At 44.4% G+C, this 19,467-nt stretch overlaps 1 protein-coding gene and 1 long non-coding RNA gene across 6 annotated transcripts in view, besides 1 other annotated feature; one reads left to right on the top strand and one right to left on the bottom strand.

Annotated features, from left to right (window-relative positions):
• The window catches only part of CDH13 (cadherin 13), a 1,173,672-nt gene that overhangs the window by 85,688 nt on the left and 1,068,517 nt on the right, over positions 1-19,467 (bottom strand). The gene's annotated exons all lie outside the window — the stretch shown is intronic.
• Positions 4,757-4,926: an enhancer, noted in NCBI's record as "experimental_46306 CRE fragment used in MPRA reporter constructs". NCBI's record gives its function as "activates a minimal promoter by MPRAs in K562 erythroleukemia cells, with activity observed for both the introgressed and non-introgressed 16:83743717 variant alleles {active_cell/tissue: K562}" and the evidence as "EXISTENCE:reporter gene assay evidence [ECO:0000049][PMID:34662402]".
• LOC124900603 (uncharacterized) overlaps positions 7,118-19,467 on the top strand; it is a 42,544-nt gene continuing 30,194 nt past the window's right edge. Inside the window, exon 1 of the long non-coding RNA XR_001752385.3 lies at positions 7,118-10,645. This is a non-coding gene — a long non-coding RNA (uncharacterized LOC124900603). The remainder of the gene's footprint in view (positions 10,646-19,467) is intronic.

The following is a 19,467-nucleotide window of genomic DNA, read 5'->3' as shown; positions in this document are numbered from 1 at the left end:
GATGGGCAGAGGCAACACACTCAAGACTTTTCCTTTCTCTTAAAATCACAAGGGAAATAGATAAAGGTAGTTGGCAAAACCGTTAATTAGGAATTAAAGATAAAGACCCATTCTCATCGAAGATAGATGAGTATCATCAGAACCCTCTCCTTCAAGCAGATTAAGAAGGCATTTCCCATTTCTGTCTTCTATAGAAAAGCTACTAAATGTAAAACAAACACATCCAAAGATGCCAGGATGTCAAACATTTTGCCCATTTAACTCATGAATATTCAACAGTTCCTGAGTCTGTCTTGTGATAGTCATATGTTACAGTCTCTATAGACAATGTTTTGAAACTGTCCCTCCTACTGATAGCTGAGAATCCAAGTCAATAGGTAAAAGTCTTTAGCTTTAGTTACAGAGGTAGAAAGCATCACATGGTTAGTTACTGAATGTTTGCAGAACATTCCTTTGTGGGGCAGAAACAGTTTCCCCCAGGCTTACCAAATGCCCTAATGAAAACACACTTGAGCTCACTGGGGCAGCATAGCTAGGTATGCGGTCACTTCAGAAGTATGCTTCACAGTGTTTTGTTTAATTTTTATGCCAGCTATCTATGACCGAGAGCGTAGATTTCATTTCTATTAAGTATTTCTACCGATAATAAAAATCAATCTTTTAGGGACAGGGATATTAATAGCACTTGGGGCAAGACACTAAAGCAACGTGATCCTCTCTACATTTCTGGAAACTATAGAAGGGGTCTAAAGTGCCATTTACTATCGTGTGATTTGCAGTGGATGGGATTGTTGTGGCTTCTGCGGCATCTATTTTCACTTCTTCCTGTAAGACCACCTGATTTGGCGTAGGGCAGCCCCCCCTCCACTCACTGCCCCAGAGTTTTGGATGGGGCCAGTGGCCAGCGATGGGTATAGGGTGGGCTAGAGATCTACTCTGGACAAGTGAGCATGAGCCCAGGAATTTTGGAGAATACTGGACAGGCATTTCTCTGGGGTGCAGAGCTGGGGAGCTGTAGACCCAGAGCTACTGCTGGCCTTTTGAAACCTGACCAAAGCCTCTTTGAGAGTAATGTTGACAATGAGGAAGGCAGTCAAGAGGGAGAGAGATTCCTGATAGCCCCACCCTGACGGCACATGCAGGGCTGACGTCACTGGCATGGACTGTTTTGATTGGCTGGTGTCTGCTCTTAACTGTTCTAATTTGAATATTTCCCACAAACCCTCAGATCGAGTTCTGGTTAAAACCACATCCACCCTTGGATCTCCCAGTTATGTGAGATACATCAATTCACTTTCCCCACCCCCATTCTGGTTTGAGTTAGGTTTCCTTTTTAACTAAAAGAGTCCCAGCCGATAGATGAACATACCATTTGTGAGAGGTAAAGTTAAAGAAACACGTCTTTTTACCTACAAATTTGAAGAGGAAATTTTTTTTTTTTTTGGTGACGAGAAAAGTTGAGAGATGCAAATATCTACCTACTTGGTTCGTGTTTTCCCCCTTCAAAATCTCCCTCCCTCCCCAACTCTGTATAAAAGAATGCAATGCTCATTACAAACCAGTGTGGCTTTGTCAAAAATAAGTCGGACTCAAAGAACCTCATTGGAAAAATGTGGGGTGGGAGGCCAATGGCAGAAGATGAGGTGAGCTCCCTGGTGGAGTAACCATTTCTGGTGTGTGCTGGATTGGCACACTGTCATCTATCAATGCGTCCATGAAGGACCCCAGCCCGTTAGACGGAGAGAGGGTTGGAAGAATCCTCAGTGAATGAAGTGCAGGCAGCTGCTCCTTTCCCAGGTTGATCTGTTTGCTGCTAGGTGGTAGAGATGGAGGCTCAAACACACAGCTCCCTAGCTACTGGCTTGAACTATAATCCATACATTAGTAAAAGGCCTAAAGTGCTCAGATCATTTTAAACAGGGATATTTGGCCAGAATTATACTAGTATTTGAAAGCAACAGAGCTCTCCACCTTAACATTTCTTTAACGTGGCTCAGAATCGTACTGTTACTTCAAAGTCACTTTGCGGAACATTTTTACTACTTTAATAAAAATCCAGGTGATGTACCAACAAACTTAATAGGGCTGAATTTTTAGAGAAGCAATGCTGTTTTACATACTCCTCTATGCTTTTATTAGTGTGTGACAGCACATGGCAGATATGATGTTGTGTGGCGAGCTAAACAGAGAGTCTAGTCACTTAGAGGAAAACAATGTCTGTAATACTGAAACTCAAGTGGCAATATGGTCTTTTTCCAGAAAAGGATAGATGTGTAGACAAATTGAATAACATAAGTAAAATATAAAATGTTGCCTCACATCTTGCAACCAGGCCTCTTTGCCTTGCTGGCTTGTACAGGTACAGCACCTGTGCTTCTCCAGACCTTGAGGGGTGCTCCTGAAAACATGAAATCAAATGCAGGGCGCAGAGCATGCCCTGATGATTCTTGCCCTGGGATATTTCCTTCTGTAAAGACAATTAAGGCAATATGTGGGAATTTTTATTTTGCTTGCATTTTTTTCTTAGATGCATGCCTCATTCTCCAACCTTCCTGTTGGGCAAAGATCCTGTTTTCAATGCTAAAGCAGGCCTGTCCCAAACCAGGTGTGCCTAGACCTGGAGTTTGGTCTCATGAGATCGCAAGAGCCCCCAGTGCTCTGGCGGCTATTGTAAACCACAGGTTCTCTCCTTTCCATTCAAGGCCCTTTTAAAAGGTGCTGCCAAATTTTAGTGGTGCCTGTTCTGGTCTGAATTGTGTTTCCCCAAATATATATGTGGATGTCCTAATCTCCAGCACCTCACAGTATGATTGTCTTAAACAGGTAAGTTAAAAGGAGATCACTATAGTGGGCCCTAGTCAGATATGACTGGTGTCCTCATGAGAAGAGATTAGGGCACAGACAGACAGAGAGGGAAGACTCTGTGAGGACACAGGGAGAAGACAGCCATCTACAAGCCAAGAAGAGAGGCCTCAGAAGGAACCAACTCTGCCAACACCTTGATCTCAGACTTCTAACCTACAGAATTGTAAGAAATTAAATTTCTGCTACTTAAGCTGCTCAGTCTATGGTACTTTGTTATGGCAACCCTGGAGAAAGAATGCAATGTCTACTAAGCACCTAAAAACATGCTGGCCAGCTGGGTGTGGTGGCTCACGCCTGTAATCCCAGTGCTTTGGGAGGCCAAGGCGGTGGATCATTTAAGGTCAGGAGTTCGAGACCAGCCTGGCCAACATGGTGAAATCCCGTCTCTACTAAAAATACAAAAATTAGCCAGGTGGTAGTGGTATGCACACGTAATCCCAGCTACTTGGGAAGCTGAGGCACGAGAATCGCTTGAGCCTGGAAGGCAGAGGTTGTGGTGAGTCAAGATTGCGCCACTATACTCCAGTATGGGTAAGAGAGTAAGACCTTTCTCAAAACAAAAAACAAAAAACAAAAAAACCAAAAAATAAAAAACCCCAAAACACCAAACAAACAAACAACCACACACATGCTAGCCAGTGTGCCTCTCAGCCATTAGGAAAGTTTGCTAATTGACTGATTACACTAAGATAAAGCCCCCCAAGATGCCAAGATAAACCAATTCCTACTATGTCATCTGTTATGCCTACCACAGCCCGTCTGGCATTTGTTTCCCGCTATTGTTTGCTCACAGAATGCAATGAGCACAGGAGGCTTTTATTCCTTCAGCCCACTTGATTAATTATGGGGCATCCTTGCTAAAGAATGAGGTAGGCAGACTATTGACTTTCTAATGGGATAGCTTCAAAATCTCCCTGCATCTGAAGTCACAGATACTTCTAACTGGGGAGAGTGGAGAAGGGACAGCTTTAGTTGTCCACGCAGGCTACTGTCCAGTGGCACCTGCCCCAAGGTGGTGGCGTGTAGCAAGGCACCTCTGCTGGTGGCCAGAATGAGGATCACTGATCCATGCTGAGCAGCCTGCGGGGCTTCCCCAGGTTGAGTCCCAGTATGCCTGTAGAATTTTGCTAACATTCATCGTAGTTCAGCCCACCAGAGACAGCCTCCTTCAAATGCTACACAACGATGATCGAGTCTGTCCATCACTCATTCCTTTTCCAGCTCCAGCACTTCCCATTGTGCCTCAGGTGCCCGAGTTGCAGCCCTCTCCCGTTCCGAATAACAAGCATAAACAGCCCTGTTTATTGAGTGCTTAGAGGTGGCAGTCACGGTGCTAAGCGCTTCACACATGAACTTTAACTCATTACAATCTTCCTGTTAATTCCCAAGACAAGGAAACTCTGGTTTAGAGATGGTGAGTCAATTTCTCGAGGTCTTATGGCTGCTAAGTGGCAGTAACAGGGCTGGAGGAATCTGGGTTTCTGTGCTTCCAGAGTCCTCCTTCTTCAGCTCCCCGCAACACTCTTTTTTTTTTTTTCCAGGTTGCCTCCCTTGAACACACCTGAATTTGCCAACATCCCTCTTAAAAAGAGGCACCAAGAGGAATGCAGAAGGCCAGCATGCAATGCTATAGCCCAAGTTCCATGCCAGCACTTGAACTTTGAGATGCTCTTAGCTTTTCTAGCAGTCATAAGGCACTTTTGCCCAAGACCAAGCTTGCAGTCAGGGAAAGCCTCCAGGTTTTTCGAAATGGCCTTGAACAGGTTTTAAGCCAGCTCTCTTGCTTTTAATCAGAGGTCATTTGGCCAAGTTGCAGCCTGTTGTTCCAGCCCAGGATTTCTCCACCTAAGCAGATACTTCTAATTGGGGAGAGTGGAGAAGCGGCAACTTCAATTGTCCCCCCTGACATCTGGGGTTGGATAATTCTTGTTGCAGAGAGGCTGTCCAGTGCATTGTGAGAACTTTACCAGCAACCCGGGCCTCTGCCCCCTAGATGCCAGTGGCATTCCCCTCGCACCCCCTGAAATGTTCTAGACACTGACAAATGTCATCTGGGGGCAAGATCACCACCTTTCTAGTATAATTCAATCATCTAAAAATAGGCCATTTTTTGGACTATTTGGAGAAATCCAAGACTCTGAAGGAATGAATAATGTTTCTTAAATATCTCTGTTCTTTCTACAAATCCAATGACTAGAGAGAGGTGGAAATAATGAACTGAGAAAGACATAAGGTCAGGAACTGAGAACTACACATCAAATAGATTTTCCATATGTCTGATGTTCTAAAATGCAGAGTGAATACTCAGACCCTATTACACAGGATGACAAAGTCTATGAATAAAATGTTTACTTCCTGATGGCAAAAATAAAATTATTCATTTCATTCTCCTACCATCATGCATGACTAGCTCTGGACAAATATAAATGGGTCTGATGAAGAATGTATTTTAAGAGGCTCACTGTGGATGGCAATGGAATACTGGCTTTCTATGCAATTAAATACATGTTTACAGGGTGTTTGCTATGTATAAAGCCCATGTGGGCAACATGGTGGATGCAAGGATGATTATGATGCAATTCCTGTGCAGAGGCCGTGTTTCTCAAATGGTGCACACACGGCACCCCTAGAGTGGAAAACTTGGGGTGTGCATGGATGAATGCTGAATGGACCGTACTGATTATAGAGGGAGTCCGCTGGGGGAACCCTCATAGATTGGAAGAGAAAGTAGATGAAGGTTAATATCTCAGGTTCCTGTGTCTGCTATGCAAAAGACCACAGACCTAGTGGATTAAAACAACTCAGATTTATTCTTATAGTCCCACAAGTCAGAGTCTAAAATTAAGATGTTGGCAGGGCTGTGTTCCTTTTAGAATCTTCAGGGCAGAATTTGTTTCTTTGCTCTTTCCAGAATCTAGAGATGCCTGCATTCCTTGACCTCTGGATTCTTCCTTATGTGGCTCCAATGACTTGCTTTTGTGATTGCATCTCCTTCTCTGACTCTGACCCTCCTGCCTCCATTTTAATTTTTTAATTTAATTTTTATTTTTTAATTTAATTTTTTGAGACAGGGTCTCGCTCTGTTGCCCAGACTAGAGGGCAGTGGCATGATCTTGGCTCATCACAACCTCCGCCTCCTGAGTTCAAACCATTTTCCTGCCTCAGCCTCCTGAGTAGCAGAAACTACAGGTGTATGCCACCACACTCAGCTAATTTTTGTATTTTTAGTAGAGATAGGTTTCACCACATTGGCCAGTCTGGTCTTGAACTCCTGGCCTCAAGTGATCCACCAACCTCAGCCTCCCAAAGTGCTGGAATTACAGGCATGAGCCACCGCGCTTGGCCCTGCCTCCTTCTTATAAGGACTTTTATGGTGAAAATGGGTGTATCCTGATGATCTAAGGTCGTCTAAAGACCTTTCATCTAATCATAGCTGCAGAGTCCTTTTTACTGTATAAGGTAAGGACTAGGATGTGGACAGCTTTGGGGAGTGGAGGCGGTGTGGGCGTTACTTAGCCTAGCATGGTTAGCAGGAAGAGAGGCCACAAAGGCTATGAATTCAGAGAAGAGGACACTCATGATAGAGAACCTAGACAGAAAAAGACAGAAAGAGAACAAAGCATGCTGAGGGGTGAGTAAGCCAAGGGCGTTGGGGAATTTCAGTTAAGAAAGTGAAAGGACTGGCTTAACCCCACTTCCAGAAACCTGAACCACCATGCTACCTCCTCTGGCTAATGCCATTATAATGAGGTTGAACCCAAGCAAATGAAAAACACATTTGAAGAACATGTGGAAGCACACGTCTGGTTGACTGTCCCTTACGGTGAGGTCCTGGGAAGTATTTGAGAGGAGCTTGTGCTGCAAGGCATGTGGCCATGAGCAAAAGGACGCTTTTGTCGTCTGCAGGGATGTGTTGGTTCTCCCGGTGGCTTTGGGTGGATCCTCTATGGGTGGTGAGTCTTGCACTTGATAAGGCACTCTGGCTTGCCTGTTCTTCCCATCAGCACTGCTGGCTGGAAGAGCCTTGGCTGGGAAACATGGAGCTCATGCCTTCTGGTGCCCTGGGCAAGTTGCTTGGGAATAATGGTCATGGTGGCAGCTGCTGCTTAAGCTGCTCCCCATTCCCCTTGCCAACTCACAGGAGGATGAGTCCAAAGAGAAGGTGTCATTAGGGTAGAAGGAAAATAAAGTATTCTTGCCTTCTCCTCAAAATTCAACTTTCCCAGCTCTTTTTTTTTTTTTTTTTTTTTTGCCTTTAGGGTCTCTCACCAAAGATGAGTCCCACTCAGTTCACTTTAACTTCATTATTTCATCTCACTCTTTCTCCTTCCCTCTTTCTCGCTTTCTATTTGTTCACTCAATGACTTTTTATTGAACGGCCACCAGATCAATAGCACAGTGCGGCATGTCAGGGATATGATACACGGGGAATCTAAGAGCTGATCTCTGTCTTATAGGAACTCAGCCAGAATAGGGAAGAGTAGTAGAACAGGGGATCAGCAATTATTTTAAACATTTCAATAATATTTGTTTTAAAGTGAATGGTAAAAATATAGCTGGCATATCACAGATATTATTGCTAAGTTAAAAGAAAGACAAGTCAAATTAAAGTCAACTTAAAAGCATTCAGTGAATGACAGTACACAGAGAGCAGATAGGTTACAGGAGATGAAGGTGCCTGGTGTTTGGAAATGTTTGGATAAAGCAAAATGGAAATGGCTAAGACAAAGAAGGAGGTAATAATGGCCTAAGAAAGTTATAAAATAGAATGGAGGAATTCAAGGAGAAAGAGATTACTTCCTACTCACCGAAAGTGTTACGGACCATGCAGTATTTGAAACTGACCTAGAAAGACCAACAGGATTGTGATGGGTGGAGGCAGGAAGGGAAATATTTTAGGAAGAGTGACTGACAGTCAAGTTCTGGAGCGTGAACATGCATGGCATATTGGGAAGCGGGAACAGTACACCCATATTCTGCTTTCCATCTTGTATCCTTCTTAGTCCTGCAAATGTCCAGAGTAGATGTGCTGTTTATCCATTTCTCCTTCTTTGTGGGGACACCTGCATTTTCCCATGAGTTTACCCCATTCTTCATGTAGCCTTGCTGAGACTTTCCATTATGGTGCCTCTCTCTCCTATAGTGAAGGGATGAAGTGAGTCCGACTCAAGACAGGCCACCCAGGACTTAATATGCTGGGAGCGTACAATGTTTTCAGAGAGACATAAGGATGGAAAATACTTGGAGCTGATTTGTCCTGATCGTGAGAGCCTAAAAATATCATCCATTCATCCCAGGAACCTAGATCGCTGAAGCAGCTTTTTCCGGCATTCCTGAAGCTTGCTTCATCCTATTTTTCTTTGCTTCTCTATGTCTTGTGTGTGTGTGCACACACATGCCTGCATATGTGTTTTCTTCTCTTCATAAGGTTTGGTTTCCATGGCTTGCAACCAAAGAAATGATTGTATAGCCTGACATAATCAGTCAGCAATCACAGTCATTTTACAAATAACACAGCAGTAAAGGGTTCACTGATTTCCCCATGCCACAGAGCTAATGAGCAATGAAGCTGGAATCTGAACTCAGGTACCTCTGATTCCCAATCTGTTCTCTCTTCATGCAGACTTTGGCTCTATAGCATTTTCCAAAAATGGCCATGCTAATATTTCTGACGCTCCTCTCGTTCACAGGTGGAGTCTAGTTCCTGTCCCCTAGAGTGTGGGTTAGCGTTTATGACGGCCTTCATGAATGAGTGCAATAGAAGTGACACTGTATGATTTCTGAGGCTGGATCATAAAAGGCGAAAGAGAAACCACTGCAAGCTGGCTTTTGGGATGCTCACCTTTGGAACCTGGCCGCCATGTTGTGAGAGAGCCCAGGCCTCGTGGAGAGGCCACAAGTAGATGTTCTGGCTGACAGCAATCAACAATTGCCAGATAAACAACTGAATAAGCATTCAGATGACATCAGCTCCCAGGCCTTGGGGATTCCAGCTAAGGCCTCAGACATTGAGGCACAGAGATAGGCTGCTCCCAGTGTGCCCTGCTCACATTCCTGAGCCATTAAAACCACAGAGACACGAAAACGATGTTGTTTCCAGTCACTAAGTTTGTGTGTGATTTGTTATGCATGAATGGGGGCTGAAAGAGGCAACCAGCCCTAGGGCAGACTTATCTACTCTCCCACCTAAACAAATCCTTTGTTTTATAAAATTTAAGTTAGGATGGGAGACATAGAGATTGTTGGTGCTTGAAGGAACCCTGGGGATCACTTGACCCAACATTCCCTCCTCTTCTCCTGAGAGTCAGATGTAGAATGAATGGTGAATGCTTGACAGTAAGGTCAGCTTTAGGGTTGTTTGAAGGATGAAATGATAAAATGCACAGAAAAATGCCTGGCACTTAGTAGTTGCTCAATAAAGCTTAATTCTCTCTTCCTGCTAATATCATTCTTTTTCTTTTCTTTTGAGACGGAGTCTCCCTCTGGCCCCCACGCTGGAGTGCAGTGGCGTGATCTCGGCTCACTGCAAGCTCCGCCTCCCGGGTTCACGCCATTCTCCTGCCTCAGCCTCCCGAGTAGCTGGGACTACAGGCGCCCACCATCATGCCCGGCTAATTTTTTGTATTTTTAGTAGAGACAGGATTTCACCGTGTTAGCCAGGATGGTCTCCATCTCCTGACCTCGTGATCTGCCCGCCTCAGCCTCCCAAAGTGCTAGGATTACAGGCGTGAGCCACCGGGCCCGGGCTTCTTTTTCTTTTTTTAAAAAAGTCAAAATTCTCAAAAAGCTTGGTTGTCTACTTTGTTTTCCAGGTGGATTTCTGGAGTCAGGTTTAGTGATTAGAGCATGACATTTTGTATGAAAGCATAAAAGACAGAAAAAACTCAAAATCAGGTAAAGCATTGTCTTGGTTCACTTATTAACCTATAAGAATGATTACCTCAAATGACCTTAAATTCCTTTCCCATACTCTATTTAAGAATCGGGGAAACCTATGTTTTAGAAATGAAGTCAATATATAGAAAGATATAGCACTTGAAGTGGTGAGCTTCAGTTTCACAGAAAACTCATCTAAGTGAGATAACTTATTCTTGGATGTTGCCAGAAAAATCTACAAGTTTCTAAATGATTGGAAACAAAAGTTTTTAAATGATTGTTGGAGTTCAACTCCAGGGAGCACTGGCCTCTGCCCTGTGTTGGAGGACAGCTTTGATGCTGCATAACAAACAGTGTGATTTCACTCATGCTGAAACTATTTTCCTGAAATTGGAGCCTTATTATTAAGTTACTGGGAAAAAATTCCAATTGAACTTTGGAAATTTTTTTTCTATTGTAGTACCATTATAGAGTTCAGTTTGGTGAAAAATGAGCACTGAAGGCTTTCAACAATTTTCTATCAGAGCTTAAATTCAATTCTAAGGATAGTGACCATGTAATTGGCAAGGAAGGAGTACTTAATTCTTAGAATTGCACTGATGGGGAGACACAGCTTTCCCTGGCATTGGAGCCTGTGGCAGCGGGGCTGTGGGCAGACTATATCTCACAATGGCTTCCTGGTGGGATATGGGAGTGGTGCCTGCTCTGAGATACAGATTTGGTTAAATCCACTCACTGGGTACACTGCAAACATTTCCCTAAACACCCTAAACTTTCTTTTCTAGGACCTGACCCGAGTCTAAGCTTGTAAGGGGCTTGGTGCATGGGAGTTGGAGAACCATCTCGGTGTTCATATTCTGGCATCGAAATGAGAACATGAGTGCATTTTATTGTATCTTTGAGGGTAAGATTGTTATTTTTGTTCATTATCTCTCTTGCCTTAACAACCTAACCTGACTGAATGAAAACCCCACCTAAGAGAAGACATTGAAAACACCTTTCTATCCCTTAGCTTCCTTCGAGGCAGTTTTCTCCTCCAGACCACACTGGAAATCACAGCTTCAGGTGAAAAGGGAAACCACTTTTCAAACTTCCATGAACACTTTTGAACTGTAACCAAAGTTAGGGATGGGTGTGAGGTGAAGTCTGGGTTGAAGGGTTCTTGTCATTTTCTAGATGCCAAGAAATGTCTTTATGGAACTTACAAAGCAAAAAGCCTTTTTCATTTCTCCATATATAAAAAAGTGCAATGTGCAGGGTTATCTGGATGAGGTTTTAGATGACATATTTTGTGCAGTTGAATGGATGTTACGGTGGCTGAAAAGGTTGTGTACCAGGGAGTAATTGCGAGTTCGTGCCTATTATGGAGTCAGAGGCATGTTGGTCTAGGCAAGCATTTGAGTCCTGAGAGAACTGTAGAAAAGAAACATAGTACCTCTGAGGGAGTCTGCCAAGAAAGGATGGTTTTCTTAGTCTCCTTGCCCCTTGTTTCTTAAAAAGTACTTTTCTGTTTATAAAAGTAATGTATGTGTTCAACATTAACAACTTGATAATACAAGACAGTGTGAAGAAAACATGAAAAATCACCAAATAATTCCAGGAGCCTGAAAGCCCGCTCCTATCCTTAGACATTTTATTCAAAGTCTTCTCCACGTGTGATTTGTATAATTGGAATCGTACCGTTTACCAACTTGGATGTCCCACTTTTGTCACTTCAGTTTATATCAGAAACAATTTCTCCTGGCTTCAAAAATTTTAATCACTGCATATTATTCCATCATATGGCAACTCTGTAATATATTTATCCAGCCTCCTATTGTTGGACACTGGGGCTGTTTTCTAACTTTTTGCTACCATAAATAAGGCTTCAGTGTACAACTCCGCACATAAATCTGTTTCCTGAGTGTATACATTTTTGACACCATTTCTGATTATTTCGAGATATATTCCTAGGAATGAAATTACGGGTATGGAAGAGTGTGACTGTTGGAAAAAAGTTAATACATACTGCAGCGTGTCTTTTAGAAAGTTTATGCCAATTTCCATTCCTTGCCTGTTCTTTAAAGCACTACTCAATACAATATGTTTCCTTGGCTTAGGGATGCAGCTCTATTCAAAGAGATACATGACCCAAGGAGGAACGCTCTTGTTAGCCTTGCCATTGGAACCAAGGAAACATAGGCTCCATAGCAGAGGCAGACAGGATCAGAAATGCTGGCCTCTACCCAGAGGACTGTAAGCTCTGCTCTCCTGGGCTGCCCTGGCTCATCCCTGCCCCACCTCCACATGCATCCTATGCTAAGGTGGTAACGAGCTATTTTTATGCAGTAATATGTGTGCAGCCCAAGCAAATGTTGCTGTGGCTTGTGGTTCCCTGAAGCGGCCAGTTTTCTCCCAGACCCTCTGTACCTTTGCATCTCCTATCATCTGTGCTTGGAAAGCCCCTCCCCACAGTGCCACCTGCTCAGCTCTGGAGGTGACCAGGGAATGCAGAAGGGAGCTAACACTGGATAAGAGACCCAAGGCACATGGCCACCGACCTTGAGCATCTCATGGCCTGGTGGGGAGATGAGAAGCACTCCTGTGGTCAGAGATAATTTTATCTTCTTTTTGAACATACAGGCGGGCTGAACTTCTCAGTTTCTAATGCAGCTAGATTAGGATAGAGCAAAGTTGGTAGATGTGATAATGTCACTTCTGGGCCTGGCTGCAAACCCCCTGCAAGACCCTCCTTGCTCTCTCTTTCCCTTCCACAGCAACCCTGGAGGCTACACCTTGAAGAGGCAGCCTCATGAAATGGAAGGTGCCAAGGATCTCTGAACGTTATGGAGCAGAGCCATCCCACCCCACCATCTGCAGTTCGACTGTAATAGGAGTGAGCAATGTAGTTTTGTGTTAAGCCATTGAGATTTGAGGGGTTATCTATCACAGAAGCTATTATTACTTATCCTAACTAGCACACTCATGAGCAATTACAAAATACAGTGTGATGGAAGCTATGCCAAGTGAGTACCAAGGAGGGTATCCAAGCCTCTGGAATACGTCAGATTTTTGTATTACACCCCAAGGAAATGATGAGGAAAGGTTCTTAGCACAAGGTATATTTGGGATGATTCTTGACAGATTACAATAATAGTTAATATGTATTGGGTTCTTTCTATGTTCCAGACACTGTGCTAAGAGCTTTGCTAGATTAGCCTATTTAATCCTCTAGGTATTATCTCCCTTTACACCTGGAGAGAATGAGGTCTGGAGAGGTTAAGTAACTTACCCAAAGTCCCACAACCCTCAATGGCAGAGCTGGACATCAACCTCAGTGTTACTCTGCTGCCAGCAAATACGCAGACATTAGCCAGGCAGCTGTTATTTGGAGGGAGAGAGGGCAGAGGAAGCAAACTGGGCAGAGGCACAGAGAAGGGCTGATGTGCGAAATACCTAGCAACCCAGTAGCAGGAGTGCTGGGCAATTGGTGGGTGCTGACCGTGGTGCTGAAGTGGGGCTGGATCGTAGTAACGTCCTGAGGAAGAAGAGAGGATAAGGGCGCAGGGGTTGTTGGGTGGCGGTCAGGGTAGAAACCCTAGCACAGAGGCAGAGAAGAACCTGACACATTTGGGGAACCACCAGATGTTGGCAAAGGCATGCAGAGACTCCAGGGTTTTAGTTGTAGCTCAAACAGATATAGCTTCAGTCTCCCACACGGCGAAAGCATGTTCAGTCAACTGTGCCAAGAGGACAGCTGTGCATGGGGTACGGCCTACGACCGGATGTGGCCTCTATGACTGGCACACAGAGTGCACCGCATGGATACGTGTGGACCGAATGAAATGATGAAGGAAACATACAAATATGTCATTTAGAAAAGAAATGAATTGGGAGCGCTGCATCCATCATCAGACTTCTTTATGCAGCCACCCGATGGCCCCATTCGGCTGCCCTCTTGCTTTTTCTGTTCCTAAACATCCTGACACTGAGTCTCTCATCTTTTCAGGGACTGAGAGTTTTATTCTGGCTCAGTCGTTTCAGCCATCACAGAATTAAGTAATGACAAAGTGAATTATCATCCAGCCCTGGCTTCGGCAAGGAATGTAACCTGCAGCCGAGATCCCTCACTGCTGGAGCACTCACACGACTGTCTAGGTAGTGACATGAAAAATGTCCCTAGAATCCCCCAGCTCAGGGCCATACATCCTCAGAGTCTCGACTCCACACTTGGTGGGGAAGAATGTTGTTTTATTGAGAAGGGGAAGAGGGTGTAAATAGATTCCTCTTAAACATTACATTCATCCTTGTTAATCAAAAATTAGTAGCTCTTAAAAAAAATAAACACAACTCAGCTCCCCAGGAAGCTGATAGTAGTTCCCGTGGCCCGTTTAATTACACAAAATGAAACAAAACATATTCCTCTACTCCTCGCCTGTGGAATTAACAAAATGAAATATAATGGTGGCCATATCTGGGCAGTGGGATTAAAGGTGATTTTTAATTTACTTCTTTATGCTGCTCCATGTTTGTTAATTTTTTTGTGACGAGCATGCATTGCTCATAAAAAAGTACTTCAATGTGTAAAAAAAGGAAATATGGGATTGCATTCCCAAAACCTGTAAACAAAAGAAATATATGTACACCTGTTGCAACTTTTTAGCAGTTCACCTGCCCATTCTCTGATCATTCCCCAAGAGGAAGGCCATGTTTTCCTGATTCCCACTCTGTCCCTAACAACAGTGCCTGGCACATAGTAGGTGCTTATTAAGCAGCTGCTGAGGCAACTGAAAAATAGCTATTTTTAATCGGGAGAAAAATGGCTATTTAACAACCATGGGTTTCTAAAGACAGAGAGCCCTTTTGGTCTTCTGGCATGTTTCCGTCTGTTAAAAGGGAATCTGAAGTTCTTTCGAGGTGGGGACTGCATAGAATTGAATCTTTCTGCAGAAGGTCTTTGTCTCTGTGTAACTGGTGACACAGGTGACAACACGGATGAATCCCACAATAATTGTGCTGAGCAGAAGGAGCCAGACAAAAAAGAGGGCATACTTTATGATTCAATTTATATGAAGCTCTACAAAATGTACACTAATCTACAATGACAGAAGGCAGATCAGTGGTTGCCTGGGGCTGAGGTAAAGGAAAGGAGGGGCAGAAAGGAGGATGCCAAAGGAGTCCAGGACGTTTCTGAGGATGCTAGACACATGCACGATCTAGATCACGGTGATAGCGTCAAGGGAGTGCACATATGTCAGAACTCATCAACTTGTGCACTTTTGCATGTCAATCACATCTCCATGGAGCTGTTTAAAAAGAGAAAGTGCAGAGGAGAGGGAGAAATTGGAGAGAAGAGTCCCAATATGTGCTGAGGCTGGGTACATGCTGGGATGATGTGCCTTGTGAGAAATACAGACGGATGGGATGCTGAGAAGGATGGAAAATCGAGGGCTTTCCAGGGTCTCAGGTTGAAGTTGTTTGATGTGATGTGATGTAACTGCCCTTTCCATGCCTCTAAACATCCTCAGTGAGTTAGATCACATGCAACCAATTCTGATGACAGTGAGTGTGTGTGTATGTGCGTGTGCACATACACGTGTGTGTGCATATGTGTGCCAAGGGAGGACTGGGGAGAAGGGCGACATGGGATGCCACAGGCTGGCACAGGCAGGAGATTGAGACAGCTAAGAAATGGAACTAGCTTGCAGAAGTGGAAGCTTGAAGCCAGATGTGACCTCTGGAAAGTCAAGGCTTCCTTCTCCAATCCTCTGGAATTTGCAGAAATCTTGGGAAGCCTCTGGGCTGCTACGGGGCATGCAGTCAGGACTTATCAACTTATCACATATTTATTTAGTTCTCAAAGGCAGGCAGATCCCAGCTGACATCTGGATGCTGCTCCCACACTCAGTGGCTGTTTGTTGAACAAATGCAGGAATATTATTTTGATTTGTTGACAGAAAAACAACTGGTGCTATTTTGAATATTGGCAACAGGAGGCAGAATGATGATGAATGGGCTGCCACTGGGGCTTAGGTCACCTTTCATCTGGTTAGCATGTTTCACAATGCCCGTGCTTTGGGGGCCATGTCTTATAAGTCATGCATTTAGCAAACATTGGCCGAGGGCTTGTCACGGGGCAGGCACTACACAAGATGTTGAGAGGAAACCACTGGATGAGATTCAGGCCTTCCCCTAAAGAGCTCGCAGCACAGAGTAGAACACACACAAATGAAGATACCATAATGCTGGTAGGGGTGTACCATGGGGGTTGGCAAACTATGGCCCATGGGCCAAATCTGGCCCTCTGACTCCCTGTGTCAACACAGTTCTATTGGAACACAGCCATGCCTATTCACAGATGTGGCAGCTTTTGGATTACGATGGTCGAGTTGAGTAGCTGAGACACAGATTGTGTGGTCCATAAAACCTATATTGTTTATCATCTGGCCCTTTATAGAAGAAACTTGCCAACCGTGCTCTAACAGAAGACAATACAGGGCAAGACGCTGGACTGAAGTAAGAAGGTTGGGGTTACTGACCCGGCTTGTTAGCAAACCCAGCTCTCAGTGTTCCAGGCTAGATCATAAGATCAGTTAGGGCTAAGCATCCTCCTCATACCGCCTGTGTGAGTTAGCAAGAAGCAGAATGGACTTCCAAGAGCAGCCCCTGTCTGCCCAGGAGGAAGCACAAAACAGATGCTCCTGGCCGCATCAACTTTCCAAGAAAGCAGTGTCTTGAGAGCCTCAGCACTGGGAACCAGGCAACACCATCTCCCCATGGTGGCCTCAGGGAGGTTCATCAAAGCCAACGGTGCCTAGTCAGTGACACTGGGAGAAAGTAAAGAAACAGAAGCAGTTTCTTGTATCTTTTTAAGCCCAAAGGGGAGGCCCAAACCAAGGAAGTGCATCAAATAATAATTAAGTGAAGATATTTAATTAGCATTCATTTGCACTCTTTATATTAAAGTCAGTCCCTGATGGAAATCCTTTGTTATCCTTTGCAAAGACATATTAAATATTAACTCCTGAACAGGACACACTACAGTCCTGTACAGTACAGCCTGGTTAAAAACTGTCTTTGGAAATAATTTATTTGCAATTCATTCGTTAACTAACAAACATGTATTGAGTGCCTATTATTTGCCAGGCCCACTTGAAGACCAACATGGTCCGTGCCCTCAAGGGGTTTACAGTTTAGTGTGGGGAGACAGGTAGTGAATGTTCAGGCAAGCAAGCACACTTGATCTTTGTTACTCACCATAGCTATGTCCTATAAAACTACTGTAGGCTGGGTGCAGTGGCTCACGCCTGTAATCCCAGCAATTTGGGAGGCCGAGGCGGGGCAGACCACTTGAGGCCAGGAGTTTGAGATCAGCCTGGCCAACATGGTGAAACTCCATCTCTACTAAAAACACAAAATTAGCCAGGCATGGTGGCGCATGCCTGTAATCCCAGCTACTCAGGAGGCTGAGGCAGGAGAATTGCTTGAACGTGGGAGGTGGAGGTTGAAGTGAGCCGAGATTGCACCACTGCACTCCAGCCTGGGTGACAGAGTGAGACTCTGTCTCAAAAACCATTGCTCTCGGGAAGAATACACGGTTAGGTTTCCTCAAGCCTCTGGTCACAACATTTTTGTCAACTCATCAATACACGGCCTTATCTTATGTGCACTTCTGCTTAAACACACCTTCCTTAACGTATACAGTTGATCACTAACATTGCACTCACGGTCAGCAGAGCTGTAACTCATGCCTGAAGGAAGGTTATCCTAACACCTGTTTCTTCTGTAAGGCATGGCGCAGCCTTCTGTGCCCAGAGACGCTGGACAGCACTTCCGCACTGTGCTCAACGCCATTTCAAACAGCAAAATTGCGAACAAAACGTGCAAAAATAAAAATCACGGCACTAAACAGATCACAAAAAGGGCACTTATTTGTACTATGAGAGCTGAAATAAGAAGGCAAAGCAAAAGAAGGCCTTGTTTGAGCTCAACTGTGAATGTGCACGTCAGGTGAACTCAAATTTTTCCCTGTTCTGCACTCCTCCAAGAATAACCATGAAAGCGCCATGAGTATTAATGTTGGGGTGACAAATACATTTTATTGAGTGGGTGAGCTCACAAATATGGAATTTGTGAATAATAAGGATCGACTGGAATTCAAGGCAGAGGGAATGATGTTTGCACAGTTCCTGAATGGGAAAGAAGTTTGAGGAAGAAAGGCCGTGTGGTTGGAGGAGAGACTGCCAGAGGAGCGAGAGGAGAGGAAGCTCAGCACCGAGGCCAGCCAGGGGCTTCCTGGGCCAGGGCAGGGGGTCTGGGTTTTACTTCAGTGTGAAATGGGAGGCACTGAAGGGCTTCATCAGGGGAGAGACGGGATCTGAGCTTCAGTTTAAGAGGATCACCGCGATGTGGATGGTGCCTTGTAAGAATGGGAGACAAGTTAGGGCAATTATTGTCATCTGGGTGAACGATGGTGGTGGCTTAGACAAAGTTTATGTAGTGCAGTTGCAAGAACTGCGGAGATTCTAGATATATTTTGGAGATGAAGGCCAGTTGCTGTGTTTTACCAGTGACTAGGTAATCTATGTTTTAAGTATTTGGGAAATGTTTACTTGTTGAGCTGTAAAATGTTGCATCTTTATAACTTTAGGGTGAAGCATCAAACAGTAACCACTTGCCTAAGAATTCTCCCTGGCAGCTGCCAAGTCCCCACTCCCAGTGAACTCCCTGGTGGGAGTTCCAGGTGGATCCAGTGTGGGCTTGAAGGACGTCTCTTCATGTGCTCACTCTATTGGATTCCCTGGTCCTCCCACCTTTACAGATTTCAAAAGAAGCCCCAGACACAAAGAACATGAATGAATGGGGAACAGAGATGAAATGGGCCCGCTGCACATGAAGACCCCATCTTACACAGAATTATAAAAAGATATCACAGGTGTTTAACGAACCTGCACACTCTACTGAGCATGACTTTTTAAAAAAATAGTGTTTTCTCTTGCAAAACAAAGGAAAGAAATGTTTCCCTGTTGAGAAGTTCCTTGAGGCCAGTTGTGGTGGCTCACGTCTGTAATCCCAGCACTGTGGGAGGCAGAAGCGAGTGGATTGCTTGAGCCCAGGAGTTTGAGAACCACCTGGGCAACATGGCGAAACCCCATCTCTACAAACAAATAGAAAAATTAGCTGGGCATGGTGGTGCATGCCTGTGATCCCAGCTATTCAGGAGGCTGAGGTGGGAGGATCCCTTGAGCCCAGGAGGCAGAGGTTGTAGGGAGCCGAGACTGCACCACTGCAGGCCATCCTGGGTGACAGACAGACCCAGTCTCAAAAAAAAAAAAAAAAGTTCTTTGGCATAAATATATCTGGATTTGAATTCCGTCTCTTTCACTCACGAAAGGTTCGACCTCCCTTCCTCATCTATAGAACAGGGATGATCACACCCATCTCACAGTTGTGTCCGAAGTATTAATGAGATAATGCTCTATCAGATTTCTAGACTTTCTATTTAGTTACTGTTCACATCTGCCTTTTCTATTTCATTATGTTTTATCCTTTCTTCCTGGCCCCTATTCTTTTCCCCTAATCATTTTAAACATAACTATTTTATATTCTAGTTATTTGTTAAATTCAGAGATTTATCTTCTTTTTCTTTGGAGCCTAGCTGTGGGTTTCCATGGGTGAAAGGGTCACAGTTTACTCAACATTGCTAACTGTCTGTTGCAGAAAGGGCACCTGCTTTCGCCTAGTCCA

The sequence above is a fragment of the Homo sapiens genome, chromosome 16 (assembly GCF_000001405.40).
Source record: "Homo sapiens chromosome 16, GRCh38.p14 Primary Assembly".
NCBI lineage: Eukaryota > Metazoa > Chordata > Mammalia > Primates > Hominidae > Homo > Homo sapiens.
Note: the sequence above shows the minus strand (reverse complement) of the source record. Positions and strands in the feature narration are given on the sequence as shown.